Source organism: Homo sapiens, chromosome 6 (assembly GCF_000001405.40).
Source record: "Homo sapiens chromosome 6, GRCh38.p14 Primary Assembly".
NCBI classification, from domain to species: Eukaryota; Metazoa; Chordata; class Mammalia; order Primates; family Hominidae; genus Homo; species Homo sapiens.
The window spans coordinates 33,515,932-33,537,936 of NC_000006.12; the positions used below are offsets into that span (position 1 = coordinate 33,515,932).

At 48.8% G+C, this 22,005-nt stretch overlaps 1 long non-coding RNA gene across 1 annotated transcript, besides 1 other annotated feature; it reads right to left on the minus strand.

Annotated features, from left to right (window-relative positions):
• Positions 1 to 996: 996 nt before the first annotated feature.
• On the minus strand, positions 997 to 20,056 carry LOC107986537 (uncharacterized). The gene is made up of 3 exons (XR_001743876.1): positions 20,040 to 20,056; positions 3,434 to 3,560; positions 997 to 1,890 (listed from the first exon to the last, which is right to left on the minus strand). It is a non-coding gene; the product is annotated as an uncharacterized LOC107986537 (long non-coding RNA).
• Positions 15,984 to 16,588: an enhancer, noted in NCBI's record as "H3K27ac-H3K4me1 hESC enhancer chr6:33499692-33500296 (GRCh37/hg19 assembly coordinates)". NCBI's record gives its function as "activates a minimal SCP1, AML or CMV promoter by ChIP-STARR-seq in naive H9 embryonic stem cells {active_cell/tissue: H9 hESC(naive)}" and the evidence as "EXISTENCE:reporter gene assay evidence [ECO:0000049][PMID:30033119]".
• Positions 20,057 to 22,005: the final 1,949 nt, after the last annotated feature.

Sequence of the window (22,005 nt, forward strand, 5' to 3'; positions counted from 1 at the left end):
ACTGTGTGAATTCTACTATGTTAATGAAGGTCCCCATGATTATCCACAGCCTTTCTTCCCTCCTCCCTCCCAGTCAATGTCTCTCCCCAGAGTGGAGTCTGATGATTTATAAGGCTGGTATTCCTTGTCCAGCCACACTGATGGCATTCCCAGGCTTCTCTCTTATGTGGACTCTGATGGGCCATGAGATTCTAGTTATGTCTGAACACTTGTCCACACCTCTGGCATTCTTTCTTTCTTATTTATTTATTTATTTTTTGAGACGCAGTCTCGCTCTGTCACCCAGGCTGGAGTGCAGTGGCATGATGACAGTTCACTGCAACCTCCACCTCCCAGGTTCAAGCAATTCTCCTGCCTCAGCCTCCTGAGTAGCTGGGATTACAGGCGTGTGACACCAAGCCCAGCTAATTTTTTTGTATTTTAGTAGAGACGGGGTTTCACCATGTTAGCCAGGCTGGTCTTGAACTCCTGACCTCAAGTGATCCACCCACCTCGGCCTCCCAAAGTGTTGGGATTACAGGCGTGAGCCGCGGCACCTGGCCTTTTTTTTTTTTTTTTTTTTTTTTTTGGAGACAGAGTCTTGCTCTGTCACCCAGACTGGAGTGCAATGGCACGATCTCGGCTCACCGCAACCTCTGCCTTCCGGGGTCAAGTGATTCTCCTGCCTCAGCCTCCCAAGTAGCTGGGATTACAGGAATGCGCCACCACGCCTGGCTAATTTCGTCTTTTTGGTAGAGACGAGGTTTCTCCATGTTGGTCAGGCTAGTCTCAAACTCCTGACCTCAGGTGATCCGTCCGCCTTGGCCTCTCAAAGTGCTGGGATTGCAGGCGTGTGCCACTGTGCCTGGTTGACCTCTGGCATTCTTAAGGCTCCTTCCTTAGCTGGGCATGGTGGTGTGTACCTGTAGTCCCAGCTACTCAGTAGGCTGAGGTGGGAGGATGACTTGAGCCCAGGAAGTCAAGACTGCAGTGAGCTGTGATTGCACAACTGCACTCCAGCCTGGTCGACAGAGTTACACTGTCTCAAAAAATAAAAATGTAAAGGCTTCTTCCCAAAATGAAAACTCTGACAATGACGTGAGGCTGATCCCTGAAGGCCTCCCCACCTGTAAAAGGCTTTTCCCCTTGTGTGAATGCACTGATGAGCCAGGACTTGGGAGCTCTCCCTAAAGGCTTTGCCACTCAGGTACACTGATGGCGTCCCTCCAGTTCTGCAGTATAACACACACAAAAGCTCTTCCACACCTCCTGCACATATATGGCTCATTGGAGCCTGAACTCTCTGGCGTGCAGTGAGGTGTGATCCCTCTCTGAAATCATTCCTGCATTCTTTACATCCTAGACAGCTTCCAAAGTCTCCAGAGTGGACCGCCTGATCAACAACAATGGCCTTCTGAGAGAAGGTGCCTGCGCTCCATTCTCACACGTGCTCTGTGGTGGGAGGAAAGGGCCTCATCATCTGCTAGGCTCTTCCATGTGGGCTACATCTGTGGAGGCTTTCCACACACTCCTGGGCCTTCTCTGCAGCGGACGGCCACGTCGTCACACAGTGATGTTCCTGCGCTCACTGCAGGTGTGGGTTTTCCCTGGAGCAGTGCACGGCTGTGGGAGAACTTGTGGCTGTTCTTCAGGGCTTCTTCACACGTCTTTACTCTGCAAACAGCAAGATGTGACTTCCTACTAGATCCCTTACTGCACTCACCACACTTGAAGGATCCTTTTCTTCTAAGATCTCTTGTGATTTCTTGGGATTCATGCGATTCTACAAATTTGGATCTCTGGAGCCTGGCGTTTGGTGTCCTCCCAGTGGACTCAATGCTCAATACTCCGTGTCCTTGGAAATGCCCATCTTTAAAGTTGACCCCACCTTCTCAGTTCTGCTCTCACCACCTGGCAAGGAAAAACACAACATGACCTGATCCCCATTCTGCACAAAAATCAACTTGAGAAGAACAGAGTACTCCGGCTGGACGAAGTGGCTCAAGCCTGTAATCTCAGCACTTGGGAGGCTGAGGTGAGCAGATCACTTGAGCCCAGGAGTTCGAGACCAGCCTGGCTAACATGGTGAAACCCCATCTCTACAAAAAATTAAAAAAAAAAAATCAGCTGTGCATGGTGGCACATGTCTGTAGTGCCAGCTACCTGGGAGGCTGAGGTGGGAGAATCACCTGAGCCTGGGAAGTTGAGGTTGCAGTGAGCAGTGTTGCCTGGGCAACAGAGTGAAACCCTATCTCAAAATAAATTTAAAAAAATTTTTTTTCAAAGAACAGAATAATCAAGTACAGCAAAAAGAGGACAGTTATGGTATGGCACTTATCTTCACAACCCTTAATAGAGTAGGGATTGGCCCAGCACTTTGGGAGGCCGAGGCAGGCGGATCACCTGAGGTCAGGAGTTTGAGACCAGCCTCGTCAATGTGATGAAACCCCATCTCTACTAAAAATATAAAAATTATCTGGGCATGGTGGCAGGCGCCTGTAATTTCAGCTACTTGGGAGGCTGAGGCAGGAGAATCGCTTGAACCCAGGAGGCAGAGGTTGCAGTGAGCCGAGATCACGCCATTGCACTCCAACCTGGGTGACCAGAGCAAAACTCCGTCTCAAAAAAAAAAAAAAAAAAACACACAAAAACAAAAAACAGCTGGGCACGATGGCGCGCGCCTGTAATCCCAGCACTTCTTTGGGAGGCCAAGGTGGGCAGATCACTTGAGGTCAGGAGTTTGAAACCAACCTGGCCAACATGGTGAAACCCCGTCTGTATTAAAAATACAAAAAAATTAGCCAGGCGTGGTGGTGGGCGCCTGTAATCCCAGCTACTCGGGAGGCTGAGGCAGGAGAATCACTTGAACCCAGGAGTCGGCAGTGAGCTGAGATGGTGAGCCGAAGTGGCAGTGAGCCGAGACTGTGCCATTGCACTCTAGCCTGGACAACAAGAGCGAAAACACTCTAAAAAAAAAAAAAAAAAAAAAAAGAGTAGGGATTGGTGTCAGAAATGAAACCCTCCAAGGGCCAGCAGACAAGGGCGGCTGAGAATACTGGTAATGTATGAAGGAGAATGAGAGGGGGAACAGAGAGGCTAGGAGGCATTGGGGAGTAAGTGAGGCTGTCATCTCGTGTGTGAGACGAAGTCAACACCTAAATGGAAAGAGGCAAGAAAACCAAAAAGAGGAAAAGGGGAAGGGCCATGAGTGTGGAAGGCCTTGTGTCTTCACCACAGGCAGTGGACCAAGCAGAGGCCACCACGTCAGGCCACTGGCTAACCCAGAGGAAAGGAGCGTGCCTTCTTTAGGGTTGCAACTGGGTTTCTGCATGGCAGCTTAGAGACCAAGAGAGAAAACAAGGACTCGACAGCCTTTTTCCCTGAGCTCTTCAGCATTTTTAATGGTGCAGGGAAGGAGCTGCAACAAAGAGAGATGCTACAGCGTCTCACTCACCCATGCAAGTGAAGACTTCTGTCCCCAGCTGCCTGCAGATCTGGTACCATGATCTTTCCCTCAATCCATCCATCCCAATGCAGGATGATTGGTTTAGGTTGGAAAAAATAAAGTTCTGTTCATAACGCTGAAAAGAGGAAAGGGAAGATAATGAACCCAACGCAGTCTGAGCCATTCTGTCTCTGGGAAACAGACATGGCCAGGCAGACCACTAAAGAACTTGGTGGCAGGCCGGGTGCGGTGGTTCACGCCTGTAATCCCAGCATTTTGGGAGGCTGAGGCGGGTGGAACACCTGAGGCTGGGAGTTAGGGACCAGCCTGGCCAACATGGAGAAACCCCATCTCTACTAAAAATACAAAATTCGCCAGGCGTGGTGGCGCATGACTGTAATCCCAGCTACTTGGGAGGCTGAGGCAGGAGAATTGCTTGAACCTGGGAGACGGAGGTTGCAGTGAGCTGAGATTGCGCCATTGCGCTCCAGCCTGGGGAATGAGAGCAAAACTCCATCTCAAAAAAAAAAAAAAAAAAAAGAAAGAACTTGGTGGCAAAGCACAGACACAGCTACTCTGTAATAGGCCAGGAAGTAAAACTCCACAGGGCAGGGCTTCAATACCAGTGAAAATCACTGGGGTGCCGGGAGGTGACAGTCAAGACTCAGCACAAGAAAGTAAGAAAGCGTCCAATTTCCGGCAAGGGAAATAGCAGAACCCAGCATTAGCGGGAAGCAGGAATACTCCACTTTTCATGGAGAGGGACCACGCAGCTTGCACGGATTTAGAAACTAAAATCAACAAAACTGGAACCTTTAGACCAGACCACTACCAACAATGGGCAGCACCAATGATTTCTGAGACAGAGTCTCACCGTGTTGCCCAGGTTGGAATACCGTGGCACGATCTCGGCTCACTGCAACCTCTAGCCTTCTGGGTTCAAGCAATTCTCCTGCCTCAGCCTCCCAGTAGCTGGGATTACAGGTACGCCCCATCATGCCTGGCTAAATTTTGTATTTTTAGTAGAGATGGAGTTTCACCATGTTTGCCAGGCTGGTCTCGAACTCCTGACCTCAGGTGACCTGCCCACCTCAGCCTGCCAAAGTGATAGGATTACAGGCATGAGCCACCACACCTGGCAGCAGCAGTGATTTAGTTAGCAATACATGAATTTACAGTCAGAGAATTCCCAAGGCAGTCAGATCATACTGTGTCCAAAATTGGTGGGTTCTATGGTCTCACTGACTTAGAGAATGAAGCCACAGACCCTCACGGTTGAGTGTTACAATTCTTAAGGATGGTGTGTGCGGAGTTTGTTCCTTTTGATGTGCGGATGTCTTCACAGTTTCTTCCTTCTGGTGGCTTCATGGTCTTGCTAGGTTCAGGAGTGAAGCTGCAGACCTTCAGCTCTTAATGTAGCACAGCTGGAGTTGTTCATTTCTCCCAGTGGGTTCATGGTCTCACTGGCCTCAGGACTACAGCTGCAAATCTTCTCAATGTGTGTTATAGCTCATAAAGGCACTCTGGACCCAAAAAGTGACCAACAGTAAAATTTATTCCAAGCAACAAAACAACAAAGCTACCACAATGTTGAAAAGACCTGAGCAGATTGCAGCCTGCTTTTATTCCCTTATCCGACACCACCACCACCCCCCCCCCCCCCCCCCGCCCACACACACACATCCTGCTGATTGGCCCATTTTACAGAGAACTGATTGGTCTGTTTTGACAGGGTGCTGATTGGTGCGTTTACAATCCCTGAGCTAGACACAGAGTCCTGATTGGTGTATTTATAATCCTTTAGCTAGACACAAAAACTGTCCAAGTCCCCACTAGATTAGCTAGACACAGAGCACTGATTGGTGCGTTTACAAACCTTGAGCTAGACACAGAGTGCTGATTGGTGTGTTTACAAACCTTGAGCTAGACACAGAGTGCTGATTGGTGCATTTACAATCCTTTAGTTAGACATAAAAGTTCCCCAAGTCCCCACTAGATTAGCTAGACACAGAGTGCTGATTGGTGCATATACAATCCTCCAGCTAGACGTAAAAATTCTCCAAGTCCCCACCCGACTCAGGAGCCCAGCTGGCTTTGCCTAGTGGATCCCACGCCACAGCGGAGTTGCTTCCCAGTCCCACGCCTGGTGCCTACACTTCTCAATTCTTGGGCAGTCAATGGGACTGAGGGCCGCAGAGCAAGGGGCGGCGCCCGTCGGGGAGGCTCTGGCCTCACGGGAGCCCATCGCGTGGGAGGGGCTCGGGCATGGAGGGCTGCAGGTCCGGAGCCCTGCCCTGCGGGGAGACGGCTGAGGCCCAGCCAGAATTTGAGCGCGGCGCGGGCGGCCCGGCAGTGCTGGGGGACCCGGCGCCCCCTCCACAGCTGCTGGCCCGGGTGCTAAACCCCTCGCTGCCCGGGGCCAGCCGGCTGCTCCGAGTGTGGGGTCTGCCGAGCCCGCGCCCACCCGGAACTCGAGCTGGCGCGCAGCCCTGGTTCCCGCCTGCGCCTCTCCCTCCACACCTTCTCGCAAGCAGAGGGAGCCGGCTCTGGCCTCGGCCCGCCCAGAGAAGGGCTCCCACAGTGCAGTGGCGGGCTGAAGGGCTCCTCAAGCGTGGCCAGAGCAGATGCTGAGGCCGAGGAGGTGCTGAGCGCGAGCGAGGGCCGCCAGCACGCTGTCACCTCTCAATACCACCTTCCTGAAATTCTTTATCATCACATGCTGTGGAGATTCCTCTCGGAGGGGTGAGATGGTGCCATTCCCCATGAGTGAAGTACACGAGTACATCCTCACACACCTCAAAAATCACCCAATCCTGAGACACATGATTTCTGCAGCTGCCAGAGAAATAATCCCTGAGGAGCACAACCACCTTCCCCAGAGTAAAAGGGCGGGCTTCGAGTTAGTGTTGAGTGTCCAATGAGCAGGAAGAGCTGCAGAACAAGAGGCCAGCAACCAAGCCTAGGGAGACATCCCTCCAGCGGGAAGAGGACAGTCGGGGCTGCTGAGAGAAGCAAACAGGCTCCGCAAATGCCACTAAGTGCACATTTTGTGGCATTAAGTACACTGACCTGGTTGCACGATGGTCACTACCATACGTTTTCAGATGTTTTTTTTCCTTCCCAAACTGCAACTCTGTACCCATTAAACAGTAACTCCTGTTCAAAGAAAAACTTAAGACAAATTAAATTTAGCAGAGTCTAACTGAACAAAGGATGATTCCTGCATCACGGCAGCCCCCAGAACCACCAGATTTCAGAGGACTCCGTGCTGCCTCAGCGGCCAGAAAGGACTACGGTGCGTGAACAGAAAAAAGCAAGTAGCGTGCAGAAAGTGCAAGTGAGGCATAGAAACAGCTGGATTGGCTACAGCTTGGCATTGGCCTTGTTTGAACCATTTGAACAGCTGGCTGCTTCCTATTGGCTAAAACTCCATGATTGGTACAAAACTCCATGATTGGTACAGGCTGTTTACACATCCAGTTAGGTTACAGTTCACTATGTACAGAGAAACCTTTTTTTTTAAATTTTTATTTCTTTATTTTTTAGACGGAGTTTCGCTCTTCTTACCCAGGCTGGAGTGCAATGGTGCAATCTCGGCTCACTGCAACCTCCGCATCCCCGCTTCAAGCGATTCTCCTGCCTCAGCCTCCTGAGTAGCTGGGATTACAGGCATGTGCCACCGCGCATAGCTAATTTTGTACTTTTAATAGAGATGGGGTTTCTCCATGTTGGTTAGGCTGGTCTCAAACTCCCAACCTCAGGTGATGCGCCCACTTCGGCCTCCCAAAGTGCTGGGATTACAGGCATGAGCCACCATGCGCAGCCAGAGAAACCTTTATGCCAAGCTTATACTGTAAGGAGGCAGCTTTAGGCTAAACTGAATACTCTTCATTCCCTTCTCTCCAGCCCCTGGCGACCACCCTTGTACTTTGTGTGTCTATGAATGTGACTACTCTAAGTACCTCATATAAGTGGAATCATACAATAATTTTGTCACGGGCTTATATCACTTAGCATAGTGTCTTCAAGGTTCATCCATGTTGTAGCATGTGCCAGAACCGCCTTCCTTTTTAAGGCTGAGTAATATTCCATCGCATGCATATGCCACATTTTGTTTATCCATTCATCCATCGGTGGATGCTTGGGTTGCTTCCCTCTTTTGACTGTTGTGAATAATGCTGCTATAAACTTGAGTGTACCAATATCTGAGTCCCTGCTTTCATTTTTTTTTTTTTTTGAGACGGAGTTTCTCTCCTTTTGCCCAGACTGGAGTGCAGTGGCACAATCTCAGCTCACTGCAACCTCCGCCTCCCGGGTTCAAGTGATTCCTCAGTCTCCTGAGTAGCTGGGATGACAGGCGCCTGCCACCACGCGCGGCTAATTTTTTGTATTTTTAGTAGAGACGGGGTTTCACCATGTTGGCCAGGCTGGTCTCGAACTCCTAACCTCAGGTGATCCGCCTGCCTCAGCCTCCCAAAGTGCTGGGATTACAGGCGTGAGCCACCATGCCCGGCCTCAATTCTTTTGAATTCTTTTCAATTCTTCTGGGTACATACCCAGAAGTGGAATTGCTGGATCATGTTGTAATTCTATGTTCGATTTTTTGAGGAACCGCCATACTGTTTTACGCAGTGGCTTGTGATATTGTGAAATATATACTTGGTCTCCTTACATATAACTCCTAGAAACCTTGAAATCTTCAAAATACAAGTGTCTTTTTGTATGCTAATAAGTTGGCTGGTAGCTGGTAGCCCCTAGGTAGCTTCAGGATGGGGATTGGTCACCGGAAAGACCAAGGCATGGTTAGAAGTTTGAGACTTTTAGCACGACCCCAAACTTCCAGGGAGGGGAGAGGGCTGAAGGTTGAGTTGATCACCAAGGGCCAACGATTTAACCAATCATGCCTAAGTAATGAAGCCTCCATGCTGAACACCTGGAGGTTCCTGGAGGGGTGGGGCACCTGGAGAGGGCATGGAAGCTCCACACTCCTTCCCTCATAGATTACCCTATTCATCTCTTCATCTGGTGTTCATCAGTATCCTTAGTAATATCCTTTGTAAGTGAGAAAGAAACTTATGTGAGGAATGCCAGCCCCCTTTAAATGATCAGTCCCAGCCCCAGCACAGTAGCTCATGCCTTTAATCCTAGCACTTTGGCAGGCCCAGGTGGATGGATCGCTTAAGCCCAGGAGTTCGAGACAAGCCTGGGCAACATAGGGAGACCCCATCTCTACAAAAAATAGAAAAAAATTAGTCAGGCAGGGTGATGCACACCTGTAGTCCCAGTTACTCAGGAGGCTGAGGTGGGAGAATCACTTGAGCCTGGGAAGTAGAGGCTGCAGTGAGCAATGATCACACCACTGCATTCCAGCCTGGATGACAGAGTGAGACCCTGTCTCAAAACAAAACAAAAAATTAATTTAAAAAATTATCAGGCTGGGCGCGGTGGCTCACACCTGTAATCCCAACACTTTGGGAGGCTGACGCAGGTGGATCATGAAGTCAGGAGTTCGAGACTAGCCTGGCCAACATAGGGAAACCCTGTCTCTACTAAAAATACAAAAATTATCCAGGCGTGATGGTGGGCACCTGTAATCCCAGGTACTCAGGAGGCTGAGGCAGGAGAATCGCTTGAACCCGGGAGGCAGGGGTTGCAGTGAACCGAGATCGCGCCACTGCACTCCAGCCTGGGCAACAGAGCGAGACTGTCTCAACAAACAAACAAACAAACAAACAAACACCCTCTCCTTTGTTCTCTGGGCCACTTCCCAGTGTTTCCCAGGCTGCAGTCCTCAACCTTGGCCCAAATAAACTCTCTATATCTATTTTGCCTCAGTTTCTTTCCTTAGGTCAACATAATAAACTGGTAAACATAAGCACGTGTTTCCCTGAGTTCTGTGAGCCACTCCAGCAGATTAATAGAATGCAAGGAGAGGGTCATGGGAACTCTGATTTATAGCCCCTTGGTTGGAAGCACAGGCTAGACAACCTGGAGCTTACAATTGGCATCAGAAGCGGGGGGCGCGTCCGGGAGGTGAGGGGCGCCTCTGCCCGGCCGCCCCTACTGGGAAGTGAGGAGCCCCTCTGCCCGGCCAGCCGCCCCGTCCGGGAGGGAGGTGGGGGGGTCAGCCCCCCGCCCGGCCAGCTGCCCCGTCCGGGAGGGAGGTGGGGGGGGGTCAGCCCCCCCGCCCGGCCAGCCGCCCCGTCCGGGAGGTGAGGGGCGCCTCTGCCCGGCCGCCCCTACTGGGAAGTGAGGAGCCCCTCTGCCCGGCCACCACCCCGTCTGGGAGGTGTGCCCAACAGCTCATTGAGAACGGGCCAGGATGACAATGGCGACTTTGTGGAATAGAAAGGCGGGAAAGGTGGGGAAAAGATTGAGAAATCGGATGGTTGCCGTGTCTGTGTAGAAAGAAGTAGACATGGGAGACTTTTCATTTTGTTCTGCACTAAGAAAAATTCCTCTGCCTTGGGATCCTGTTGATCTGTGACCTTACCCCCAACCCTGTGCTCTCTGAAACATGTGCTGTGTCCACTCAGGGTTAAATGGATTAAGGGCGGTGCAAGATGTGCTTTGTTAAACAGATGCTTGAAGGCAGCATGCTCGTTAAGAGTCATCACGAATCCCTAATCTCAAGTAATCAGGGACACAAACACTGCGGAAGGCCAAAGGGTCCTCTGCCTAGGAAAACCAGAGACCTTTGTTCACTTGTTTATCTGCTGACCTTCCCTCCACTATTGTCCCATGACCCTGCCAAATCCCCCTCTGTGAGAAACACCCAAGAATTATCAATAAAAAAATAAATTAAAAAAAAAAAAAAAAAAGAAGCGGGGGGCGGTCTTGTGGGACTGAGCCCTCAACCTGTGGGATCTGTTGCTATCTCCACAAAGACAGTGTTGGAATTGATTTGGAGGACACCCAGCTGGTGTTTGCTATAGAATTGATTGATTGGTTACTAGTAGGGAGAACTCTGCATGCACTTCTTAGTGACCAGAGGCCACAGAAGTCTTCTGTGTTGATCGTCATGAGAGAATAGCAAAAACAGTTTGGTTTGGTTTCTGTACCTATATTCTCAGAGGCTGTGTCATTTTACAGTTCCTCTGCGAATGACCAGCAATGCACAAGAGTTCCAATCTATATCCTCACCACCTGTTATTTTCTGGGATTCTCTTTGTTTTATAATAGCCATCCTGGGCTGGAAGTGGTGGCTCACACCTGTAATCCCAACACTTCGGGAGGCCGAGGTGGGAGGATTGCTTAAGCCCAGGAGTTCAAGACCAGCCTGGGCAACATGGTGAAACACCGTCTCCACAAAAAATAAAAAAATAATTAGCCAGGTGTGGTGGCGCACCTGTAGTCCCAGTTACTTGGGAGGCTGAGCCAGGAGAATCACTTGAGCCCAGGAGCGCAAGGCTGCAGTGAGCTATCATTGCACCATGCACTACAGCCTGGGCAACAGAGCGAGATGCAGTCTCAAAAAAAAAAAAAATAGCCATCCTAACTGTTGTGCAGTTAGTATTTTAACCAGGTTGCTTTTTGTTGTTGTTGGATTGTAGGAATTCTTTATATATTCTGGATATCTTTGAATTTTTTTTCTTGAAAAATATTCAGATTCATAAAAGAGAGCAAACTGCACAGTCATAAACCTCCTGTCATTCTTGTTTCATCTGTTGCCCTTGATGATCACGAATGTCTCAATCTTTTTACTGTTGGATTAGGATCCTGAAGATTTTTTTTTTTTTTTGGAGATGGAGTTTCGCTGTTGTCCAGACTGGAGTGCAATGGCACAATCTCGGCTCACTGCAACCTCTGCCTCTGGGTTCAAGTGATCCTCCTGCCTCAGCCTCCCGAGTAGCTGGGATTACAGGCACGTGCCACCATGCCCGGCTAATTTTGTATTTTTAGTAAAGAGGGGGTTTCTCCATGTTAGTCAGGCTGGTCTCAAACTCTCGACCTCAGGTGATCCACCTGCCTCAGCCTCCCAAAGTGTGCTGAGATTACAGGCGTGAGCCACCGTGCCCGGCCTCCTGAAGATTTTTTTAAAGATTTCTTTCTTTCTATCTTTTTTTAAGACGGAATCTCTGTCTGTCACCCAGGCCGGAGTGCAGTGGCGCAATCTCGGCTCACTGAAACCTCCATCTCCTGGGTTCAAGCGATTCTCTTGCCTCGGCCTCCTGAGTAGCTGGGATTACAGGTGCCTGCCACCACACCCAGCTAGTTTTTGTATTTTTAGTAGAGACGGGGTTTCACCATGTTGGTCAGGTTGATCTCAAACTCCTGACCTCATGATCTGCCGCCTCAGCCTCCCGAAGTGCTGGGATTACAGGCATGAGCCACCGTGCCAGCCAAAGCTTTTCATATCGATATAGTTGTAGAGCTACAGGATCTTGGAGGTTTATATGTGGAGTTAAAAACCACCACAAGCTGAATATGAAGAATACATGCAAGACCAAGCCAGGGGACGAGTCTTTCTTAGCCCTTCAGAACATTACCCTAGCCCCTCTCACAGGCCACTGCGAGGGAAAAAGAGTTTTCAGTTTTCTTTTTTGAGATGGAGTCTCGCTCTGTTGCCCAGGCTGGAGTGCAGTGGCGCAATCTTGGCTCACCACAACCTTCGTCTCCCGGGTTCAAGCAATTCTCCTGCTTCAGCCTCCCAAGTAGCTGGGACTACAGGCACACACCACCATGCCCGACTAATTTTTGTATTTTTAGTAGAGATGGGGTTTCACTATCTTGGCCAGGCTGGTCTCAAACTCCTGACCTTGTGATCTGCCTGCCTTGGCCTCCCAAAGTGCTGGGATTACAGGGGTGAGCCACCGTGCCCAGCCGAGTTTTCAGTTTTCTTCTATACTCTCACTCGTGACACACAATACTTCCAAACCATGTCACTTTTTTTTTCTTTAAATTATTTTTTCCTCATCTTCTTTGTGGTGGTATCATTTCTGACACCAGATTTGGGAAGTGGAGTGGTCCCCACACCAAGCAGTTTTCCAATTTTCTGTGGGTACCAATGAATCTGGTTATATGATGCAGTTTTAGCCAGTGAAATGAGAGCAGAAGTCACTGAGCAGAGCTTCCAGAAAGTTCTTTAAAGCCTTGTTACTCCAAGTGTGGTACTTTGTTAGAAATGCAGAATCTTGGGCCCCAGCCCAGACCTACTGAATCTGAATCTATATTATAACAAGACCCCCTGTTGAGTTACACATGTTGAGCTAAAGTTGGAGAGTGATGCTTTAAGGGGAGCTGACTTGGCTTCCTCTTTCTTCCTGACTGGAATGTGGATGTGATGGCTGGAGCTAAAGGGGCCATCTTCCACATGTGGTGTGACCTTAAAGAAGCCACAGGCTGAGGATGGCAGTGGAAAAAAAACAGAAGGAGCCTGGGGCACTGATAGCCTCAGGGAGCCACCACACTGCCTGGAAATGAGCCTCCAGACTTCTTTAACACAAGAGAACAACCTCTACTGTGTACACTTACTACGAAGAAGGCCACTCCAGATGTACAGACTCAGAGAAAGCCCGAAGCAAGAGCAGACCACCCTGCAGGCTGGCTGTAGCTCTGCGCGCTTCTCAGCCTGCAGCTGGTGCCAAATCTGACCTTTCTTCACGCTCGTGTTTCAGATCAACAAGAATCCTAGGAAAGGGGAGTTCAGATACCACTTTACTATTGCTCTACGTGTTTTCTAGTATGAGAATTGGTAAATACGATATATTCTGTTTTTACATTAAGTATTTCCTGTTTTATGTAACGTATTATTCTTTTCTAATTTTAGGTAAACATGGACATGTTTTCCATCTATACAGAATATCAGCCATTTAAGATGTCCTAATGAGTCACACTCTGATATACTTTCTGGAGGCACTATGTTTTAAAATGTGTTTATTTCTTATAATACCTTATGTCCCATATTACAAACCATTCCCTTTTATGCCAAAACATATATATATATATTTAATCACCGTGTTGTTTTGGGAGTTAAGATATCTAAACCCTGGAAATAATCTGGAATAGGTCAAATCTCAGACATACTCAATAAACAATGTTCTGCTCTTTTCAGAAATGCTTCCAAAGATTTGTTGTATAAAGAATTTGAGACTAGGCACGGTGGCTCATGCCTATAATCCCAGCACTTTGGGAGGCAGAAGTGGGAGGATCACTTAAGCCCAGGAGTTCAAGATCAGCCTGGGCAACAGGGTGAGACCCCATCGCTACAAAAATTACAAAACTTAGCTGGGCACGGTGGTGTGTGCCTGTGGTCCCAGCTACTTGGAAGGCTGAGATGAGAGAATCAGTTGAGCCTAGGAGGCCAAGGCTGCAGTGACTCATGATTATGCCACTGTACTCCTGCCTGGGCAACAGAGTGAGACTCTGTCTCAAACAAACAAAACCAAGAGGCAAGGCCAGGTGCGGTGGCTCATGCCTATAATCCCAGCACTTTGGGAGGCCGAGGCGGGCAGATCACGAGGTCAAGAGATCAAGACCATTCTGGCCAACATGGTGTAACCCTGTCTCTACTAAAAATACAAAAATTAGCAGGGCGTGGTGGCACATGCCTGTAATCCCAGCTACTCGGGAGGCTGAGACAGGAGAATCACTTGAATCCAGGAGGCAGAGGTTGCAGCGAGTCAAGGTCGCGCCACTGCACTCCAGCCTGGTGACAGAGCGAGACTCCATTTCAAAAAAAAAAAAAAAAAAAAAGAGGCAAATTCATTATTTGCAGATATCTAATTATACAGAAAATCAACCAGAATTGGGCCAGGCGTGGTGGTTCATGCCTGTAATTCCAGCACTTTGGGAGGCTGAGGCGGGCAGATCACTTGAAATCAGCAGTTCGAGACCAGCCTGGGCAACACCATGAAACCCCATCTCTATTAAAAATCCAAAAATTAGCCAGGTGTGGTGGTGCCTGCCTGTAGTCCCAGCTACTTGGGAGGTGAAGATTGCAGTGAGCTGAGATCACATCACAGTGCTCCAGCCTGGGCAGCAGAGTGAAACTCCATCTCAACCAAAAAAAAAAGAAAGAAAGAAAGAAAGAAAATAGGCTAGGTGCAGTGGCTCACACCTTTGATTCCAGCACTCTGGGAGGCCAAGGTGGGTGGATCACTTGAGGCCAGGAGTTCAAGATCAGCCTGGCCAACATGGTGAAACCCCATCTCTACTAAAAATACAAAAATTAGCCAGGCATGATGGCAGGCACCTGCAATCCCAGCTACTTGGGAGGCTGAGGTGGAAGGATCACTTGAACCTGGGAGGCTGAGGCTGCAGTGAGCTGAGATTGCACCACTGCACTCCAGCCTGAGTGACAGGGTGAGACTCCATCTCAAAAAAATAAAGAAAAATAAAGAAAGAAAATAAACCAGAATCAACAACAATAAAAAAATGATTAGAGATAAATTATTATTGCTAATAAGAGAATTTAGCAAAGTAGCTGGATAAAAAAATCAAGCAATAACATTTATTTCCACATCAGCAAAAAATCAACTAGAAATATAACCCCCCCAAAAAAATATTCTATTCACACTAGCAAAACTAAAAAATATTGGCTGGGCATGGTGGCTCACCCCTGTAATCCCAGCACTTTGGGAGGCTGAGGGGGGTGGATCACCTGAGGTCAGGAGTTGGAGACCAGCCTGACCAACATGGTGAAACCCTGTTTCTACTAAATACAAAAAATTAGCCAGGCCTGATAGTGCATGCATGTAGTCCCAGCTACTTGGGAGGCTGAGGCAGGAGAATCACTTGAACCCAGGAGGTGGAGGTTGCAGTGAGCCAAGATTGCGCCACTGCACTCCAGCCTGGGCAACAGAGTAAGACTTCATCTAGAAAAAGAATAAAAGAAAAGAGAAGCTAGAGACACATATGTGGGAGCTTAATACAGAATAACAGTGGCAGCACAGATCACTGAGACAGGAACGGACTGTTCGGATATAGCGCTGGAAGATTAGCTCACTATCCAGAGGCACATAAAACTGGATCCTACCCAACACCATGTACAAGAGGAAACCAGATGGATTAAAAACTTAAGGGCCGGGCGCGGTGGCTCACGCCTGTAATCCCAGCACTTTGGGAGGCTGGGATCACGACGTCAGGAGATCAAGACCATCCTGGCTAAAACGGTGAAACCCCGTCTCTACTGAAAATACAAAAAATTAGCTGGATGGTGGCACGCGCTTGTAGTCCCAGCTACTCAGGAGGCTGAAGCAGGAGAATCGCTTGAACCCAGGAGGCAGAGGTTGCAGTGAGCTGAGATCGCACCACTGCACTCCAGCCTGGGTGACAGAGCAAGAATCCGTCTCAAGAAAAAAAAAAAAAAACTTAAATGTAAGAGAAAATAAAAAATAATATTTTGGGTTGTGTGGCTCACGCCTGTAATCCCAACACTTTGGGAGGCTAAGGCAGGTGGATCACTTGAGCTCAGGAGTTTGAGACCAGTCTGAGCAACATGGCAAAACCCCATCTCTATAAAAAATGCAAAACTTGGCTGGTTAGGTATAAGTTGACAGACAATAACAAAATTAAAAAAAAAAAAAAAAAAGGCCAGGCACAGTGGTTTGTGCCTGTAATCCCAGCATTTTGGGAGGCCAAGACAGGTGGATCACCTGAGGTCAAGAGTTCAAGCCCAGCCTGGCCAACATGGCGAAACCCCGTCTCTACTACAAATACAAAAAAAATTAGCCGGGCATGGTGGCAGGCGCCTGTAATCCCAGCTACTCAGGAGGCTGAGGTAGGAGAATTGCTAGAACCCTGGGGGCAGAGGTTGCAGTGAGCCGAGATTGCGCCACTGCATTCCAGCCTGGGTGACAGAGCGAGACTTGGTCTCAAAAAAAAAAAAAAAAAAATTAGCCAGGCATGGTGGTGAGAGGTGACAGCGTGCTGGCAGTCCTCAGAGCCCTCGCTTACTCTCGGCACCTCCCCTGCCTGGGCTCCCACTTTGGCGGCATTTGAGGAGCCCTTCAGCCCCCCACTGCACTGTGGGAGCCCCTTTCTGGGCTGGCCAAGGCTGGAGCCCACTCCCTCAGCTTGCAGGGAGGTATGGAGGGAGAGGCGCGAGCATGAACCAGGGCTTCCTGCGGCGCTGCCGGGCCAGCTGAAGTTCCAGGTGGGCGTGGGCTTGGTGGGCCCCGCACTCGGAGCAGCCAGCCAGCCCTGCTGGCCCCGGGCAATGAGGGACTTAGCACCCGGGCCAGTGGCTGCGGAGGGTGTACTGGGTCCCCCAGCAGTGCCGGCCCACCGGCGCTGTGCTCGATTTCTCGCTGGGCCTTAGCTGCCTTCCCGCGGGGCAGGGCTCAGGACCTGCAGCCCGCCATGCCTGAGCCTCCCACCCACTCCATGGGCTCCTGTGCCGCCCGAGCCTCCCGGACGAGCACCACCCCCTGCTCCAGGGCGGCCAGTCCCATTGACCACCCAAGGGCTGAGGAGTGCGAGCGCACGGCGCAGGACTGGCAGGCAGCTCCACCTGCAGCCCCAGTGCGGGATCCACTGGGTGAAGCCAGCTGGGCTCCTGAGTCTGGTGGGGACGTGGAGAGTCTTTATGTCTAGCTCAGGGATTGTAAATACACCAATCACCATCCTGTGTTTAGCTCAAGGTTTGTGAATGCACCAATCCACACTGTATCTAGCTGCATCTGGTGGGGTCTTGGAGAACCTTTATATCTAGCTCAGGGATTGTAAATACACCAATCAGCACCCTGTGTTTAGCTCAAGGTTTGTGAGTGCACCAATCGACACTCTGTATCTAGCTGCTCTGGTGGGGCCTTGGAGAACCCGTGTGTCAAAACTCTGTATCTAACTAATCTGATGGGGATGTGGAGAACCTTTGTATCTAGCTCAGGGATTGTAAACGCACCAATCAGCGCCCTGACAAAACAGGCCGCTCGGCTCTACCAATCAGCAGGATGTGGGTGGGGCCAGATAAGAGGATAAAAGCAGGCTGCCAGAGCCAGCAGTGACAACCTACTCGGGTTTTCTTCAACACTGTGGAAGGTTTCTTTGTTCTTTTGTTCTTTGCAATAAATCTTGCTACTGTTCACTCTTTGGGTCCACGTTGCTTTCATGAGCTGTAACATTGTCTGCGAAGATCTGTAGGTTCACTCTGTAGGTTCACTCCTGAGCCCGGCGAGACCACGAGGTCAGCGGGAGGAAAAACAACTCCAGACGCGCTGCCTTAAGAGCTGTAACACTCACCACGAAAGTCTACAGCTTCACTCCTGAGCCAGCGAGACCACAAACCCACCAGAAGAAAGAAACTCCGACCACATCTGAACATCAGAAGGAACAGACTCCAGACGTGCCACCTTAAGAGCTGTAACACTCACCATGAGGGTCCGCGGCTTCGTTCTTCAAGTCAGTCAGACCAAGAACCCACCAACTCCGGACACAGTGGCATGTGCCTGTAGTCCCACCTATGAAGGAGAATGAGGTGGGGGACTGTTTGAGCCCAGGAGGTTGAAGCTACAGTGAGCCATGATCGTGCCACTGAACTCCAGTCTGGGCAAAACAGTAAGTCTCTATTTTTGTCACCTAAGAGTAAAGAAGTTTTTTTTTGTTTGTTTCTTTGTTTTTTGAGATAGTCTTGCTCTGTTGCCCAGGCTGGAGTGCGGTGGCGTGATCTCGGGTCACTGAAAGCTCTGCCTCCTGGGTTCACACCATTCTCCTGCCTCAGCCTCCCTAGTAGCTGGGACTACAGGCACCCACCACTGCGCCCGGCTAATTTTTTGTGTTTTTTTAGTAGAGATGGGGTTTCATCCTGTTAGCCAGAATAGTCTTGATCTCCTGACCTGGTGATTGGCCCGCCTCGGCCTACCAAGGTGCTGGAATGACAGGCGTGAGCCACCGCGCCCGGCCTAAGAGTAAAGAAGTTCTTAACCAGAAATGCAAAAGTACAGATCCCAAGAAAAAGAAACATAACTGAATTTTATTTTATCAATATTAAGGATTTCTGTTCAATGTAGATATTGTGGACAAGATACTTGATGCTGGGGGGGGAAATGAAATGTTTAAAACTAATAAGGAACAGCTAGGCATGGTGATGCACACCTGTAACCCAGCCACTTGGAAGATTGAGGCAGGAGGATTGCTTGAACCCAGGAGTTCAAAGCTGCAGTGAGCCATGATCGTGCCACTGCACTCCAGCCTGGGTGAGAGAGCAAGACCCAAAAGGCCATATACTGTATGAGTCCATTTATATAAAATGTCTAGAATAGGCAAAATGGTAGAGACAGTAAATTAGTGGTTTCCAGAGTTTCTCTCCTGAGGCAGGAGAATCGCTTGAACCTGGGAGGCAGAGGTTGCAGTGAGCAGAGAGATCTTGCCATTGCACTCCAGCCTGGGCAACAGGCACAAAACTCCGTCTCAAAAAAGAAAAGGGGAGGAGAGGGAGCGGCTGCTAGTGGGTACATGACTTCTTTTGGAGATGATGAAAATGTTCTAAGATTATGATGATGGTTGCACAACTCTGTAAATAAACTTTAAAACCCTACTGAATTGTATATTTTAAAAGGGTGAAGGCCAGGCCCAGTGGCTCACACCTGTAATCCCAGCACTTCCGGAGGCTGAGGCAGGAGGATCGCTTGAGCCCAGGAGTTTGAAACCAGCCTAGGCAACATGGTGAGACTGCCTCTAAAAAAAATAAAACAAATTTTTAGAAAGGGTGAATGTTTTGGTATATGAATTATATCTCAATTAAAAAACTGACAAGAGGTTAATATCTGGAAGCTCTCACCAATTAACCAGACAAGAACAACTCCAATGGGAAAATTGGCAAAGGATATGAACAGGCAATCTACAGTCAAGGAAACCAAAAAAGTTAATCATCATATAGAAATACTCAAAATCATTAGATACTCAAAATGATTAGAGACATGCAAAATTAAAATGAGATCCACTTTATATCTATGAGACTGGCGAGTTAGAAAGTGGGATGGTGCCATACACTGGGGAGAATAGGGGAATGCAGGGCCCTTCCGTGCTCCAGTGGGAAGGGAGAGCTGACTCAATAACTAAAGTAAAATAAGTACCCACAGGCCCACAAGCCCTGTGACCCAGCAAGGCTGCACCCAGGGACAGGGCCTAAGGGCACATGTTGGGTTTTGTAGGGTTTTTTTTTTTTTTTTGAGGCAGGATCTCGCTGTTGCCAAAGCTGGATTGCAGTGGCTCAATCACTGCTCACTGCAGCCTCAATCTCCCTGGGCTGAAGTGATCCCTCCTCTTTAGCCTCCCAAGTAGCTGGGACTACAGGTGTACACCACTACACCCAGCTAATTTTTTTATTATTTATTTTTTGTAGAGATGAGGTCTTACTATGTTGCCTGGGCTGGTCTCAACCTCCCGGGCTCAAATGATCCCCTCGGCTCAGCCTCCCAAAGTGCTGGGATTACAGGCTGGGAACTTTTTTGAATAAGTTGTAGCTGTGGGACAGGGAGTTGGAACGATCTTGGCACCCTGTCTCTTGTCCTGGAAAGAAGATGGGTAAAGGAAGGAGGATGAAGGAGGATATTTGCTGTGAAACACTTTACAGCAGTTAGAAACATGGGAAGGATGAACACAGAGCAACAAGGATTTTTTTTTTTTAAACCACTTTCCCTCAAATTCTGTGGGATGGTTCTTTAAGATGCAGTACCTGGGCAGGTGCAGCAGCTCATGCCTGTAATCCAGCAAGTTGGGAGGCTGAGGCAGGAGGATCACTTGGGGCCAGGAGTTCAAGACCAGCTTGAGCAACAGAGGTAGACTTCTATCTCTAAAATAAAATTAAAAAAAAATTTTTTTTTAAATACAGTACTGAGTGAAAAAGATAAATGAGATTTATTTATTTATTTTTCAGAGACAAGGTGCCATTCTGTTGCCCAGGCTGGAGTGCAGTGGCTCAATCCTAGCTCACCTTAACCTCCAACTCCTGGGCTCAAGCCGTCCTTCAGCCTTAGCCTCCTGAGTAGCTGGGACTACAGGCGTGCCACTATGCCTGGCTAGTTTGTAAAATATTTTGTAGAGATGAAGTCTTGCTATGTTGCCAAGGTTTGCCTTGAACTTCTGGCCTCAAGTGATCTGCCTGCCTCCGCTTCCCAAAGTGTTGGGATTACAGCATAAGCCACTGCAACCAACATACTTAATATTTAAGAAAACTGTAGCGTCCTGTTGTGTACGTGTCCTTTTCTTCTTGTCTTCTTACTCTACTCTCCATGCTCTTCATACATAAGTAGAAAATTTTGGCCGGGTGCAGCGGCTCACGCCTGTAATCCCAGCACTTTGGGAGGCCGAGGCAGGCATATTGCCTGAGGTCAGGAGTTTGAGACCAGCCTGGCCAACATGGTGAAACACCGTTTCTACTAAAAATACAGACATTAGCTAGGTGTGGTGGTGGGCGCCTGTAACCCCAGCTACTTGGGAGACTGAGGCAGAAGAATTGCTTGAACTCGGGAGGCAGAGGTTGCAGTGAGCAGAGATCTCGCCATTGCACTCCAGCCTGGGCAACAAGAGCAAAACTCTGTCTCAAAAAAAAAAAAAATTTATGTATTGTTATTTTATTTTTGAGACAGGATCTTGCGAGGTTGCCCAGGCTGGAGTGCAGTGGTGTGATTATAGCTCAGTGCAGCCTCAATGTTCTGGGCTCAGGCAATGCCTTCGCCTCGGCCTCCTGAGTAGCTGGGACTACAGATATGTACCAACACTCCTGGGCTCAAGTGATCCTCCTGCCTCTCCTCCCCATGTGCTGGGATTACAGGCATGAGCCACCTTGCCCAGTCAGAAAATTTATTTAATTAAAAAAGCCACACTATTTAAGCTATCTTGTAAATATAGCTAAGTTAAAATGTCTATGCCACAATCCAAACTGGCAGAACTCACTGAAACTGGAATAAGAGTATGGCTAAGCAGATGCTAGTATATTGATACCACACAGTGAAATCCAACAGTACCCGCCCTCTAGAATTTAAACTCATGAGGGGAGGGATTTTTGTTTTTGTTTTTGTTTTTTGTTCACTGATGATCCCAAGCATCTTAGAACAGTATCTGGCACATATTAGGTGTGCAAGAAAAAAAAAGTCTGCTTAGATCTGCAAAGTCACCTTGATTTAAAAAGAAAGAAAGAAAGAAAAATACACAGGCCAGGTGCAGTGGCTCACGCCTGTAATCACAGGACTTTGGGAGGCCGAGGCGGGCGGATCACGAGGTCAGGAGTTCGAGACCAGCCTGGCCAAGAGACCAGCCTGGCCAATATGGTGAAACCCTGTCTCTACTAAAAATACAAAAATTAGCCAGGTGTGGTGGTGGGCACCTGTAATCCCAGCTACTCAGGAGGCTGAGGCAGGAGAATTGCTTGAACCTGGGAGGCAGAGGTTGCAGTGAGTCGAGATTGTGCCATTGCACTCCAGCCTGGGCGACAGAGCGAGACTCCAACTAAAACAAAACAAAACAAAACAAAAAACAAAAACAAAGACACGCGTTAAACCATTTTGTAAATGCTTCCAAGAGAAAAGGATAGTGAACAGGTTTCCACTAATCTATACATTCATCTAATAGTGTATAAAGCTGCTACAGTTTGTCAATTGAATACTGAAATGGTACAAAGATATGGATTCTTTCCACACAAA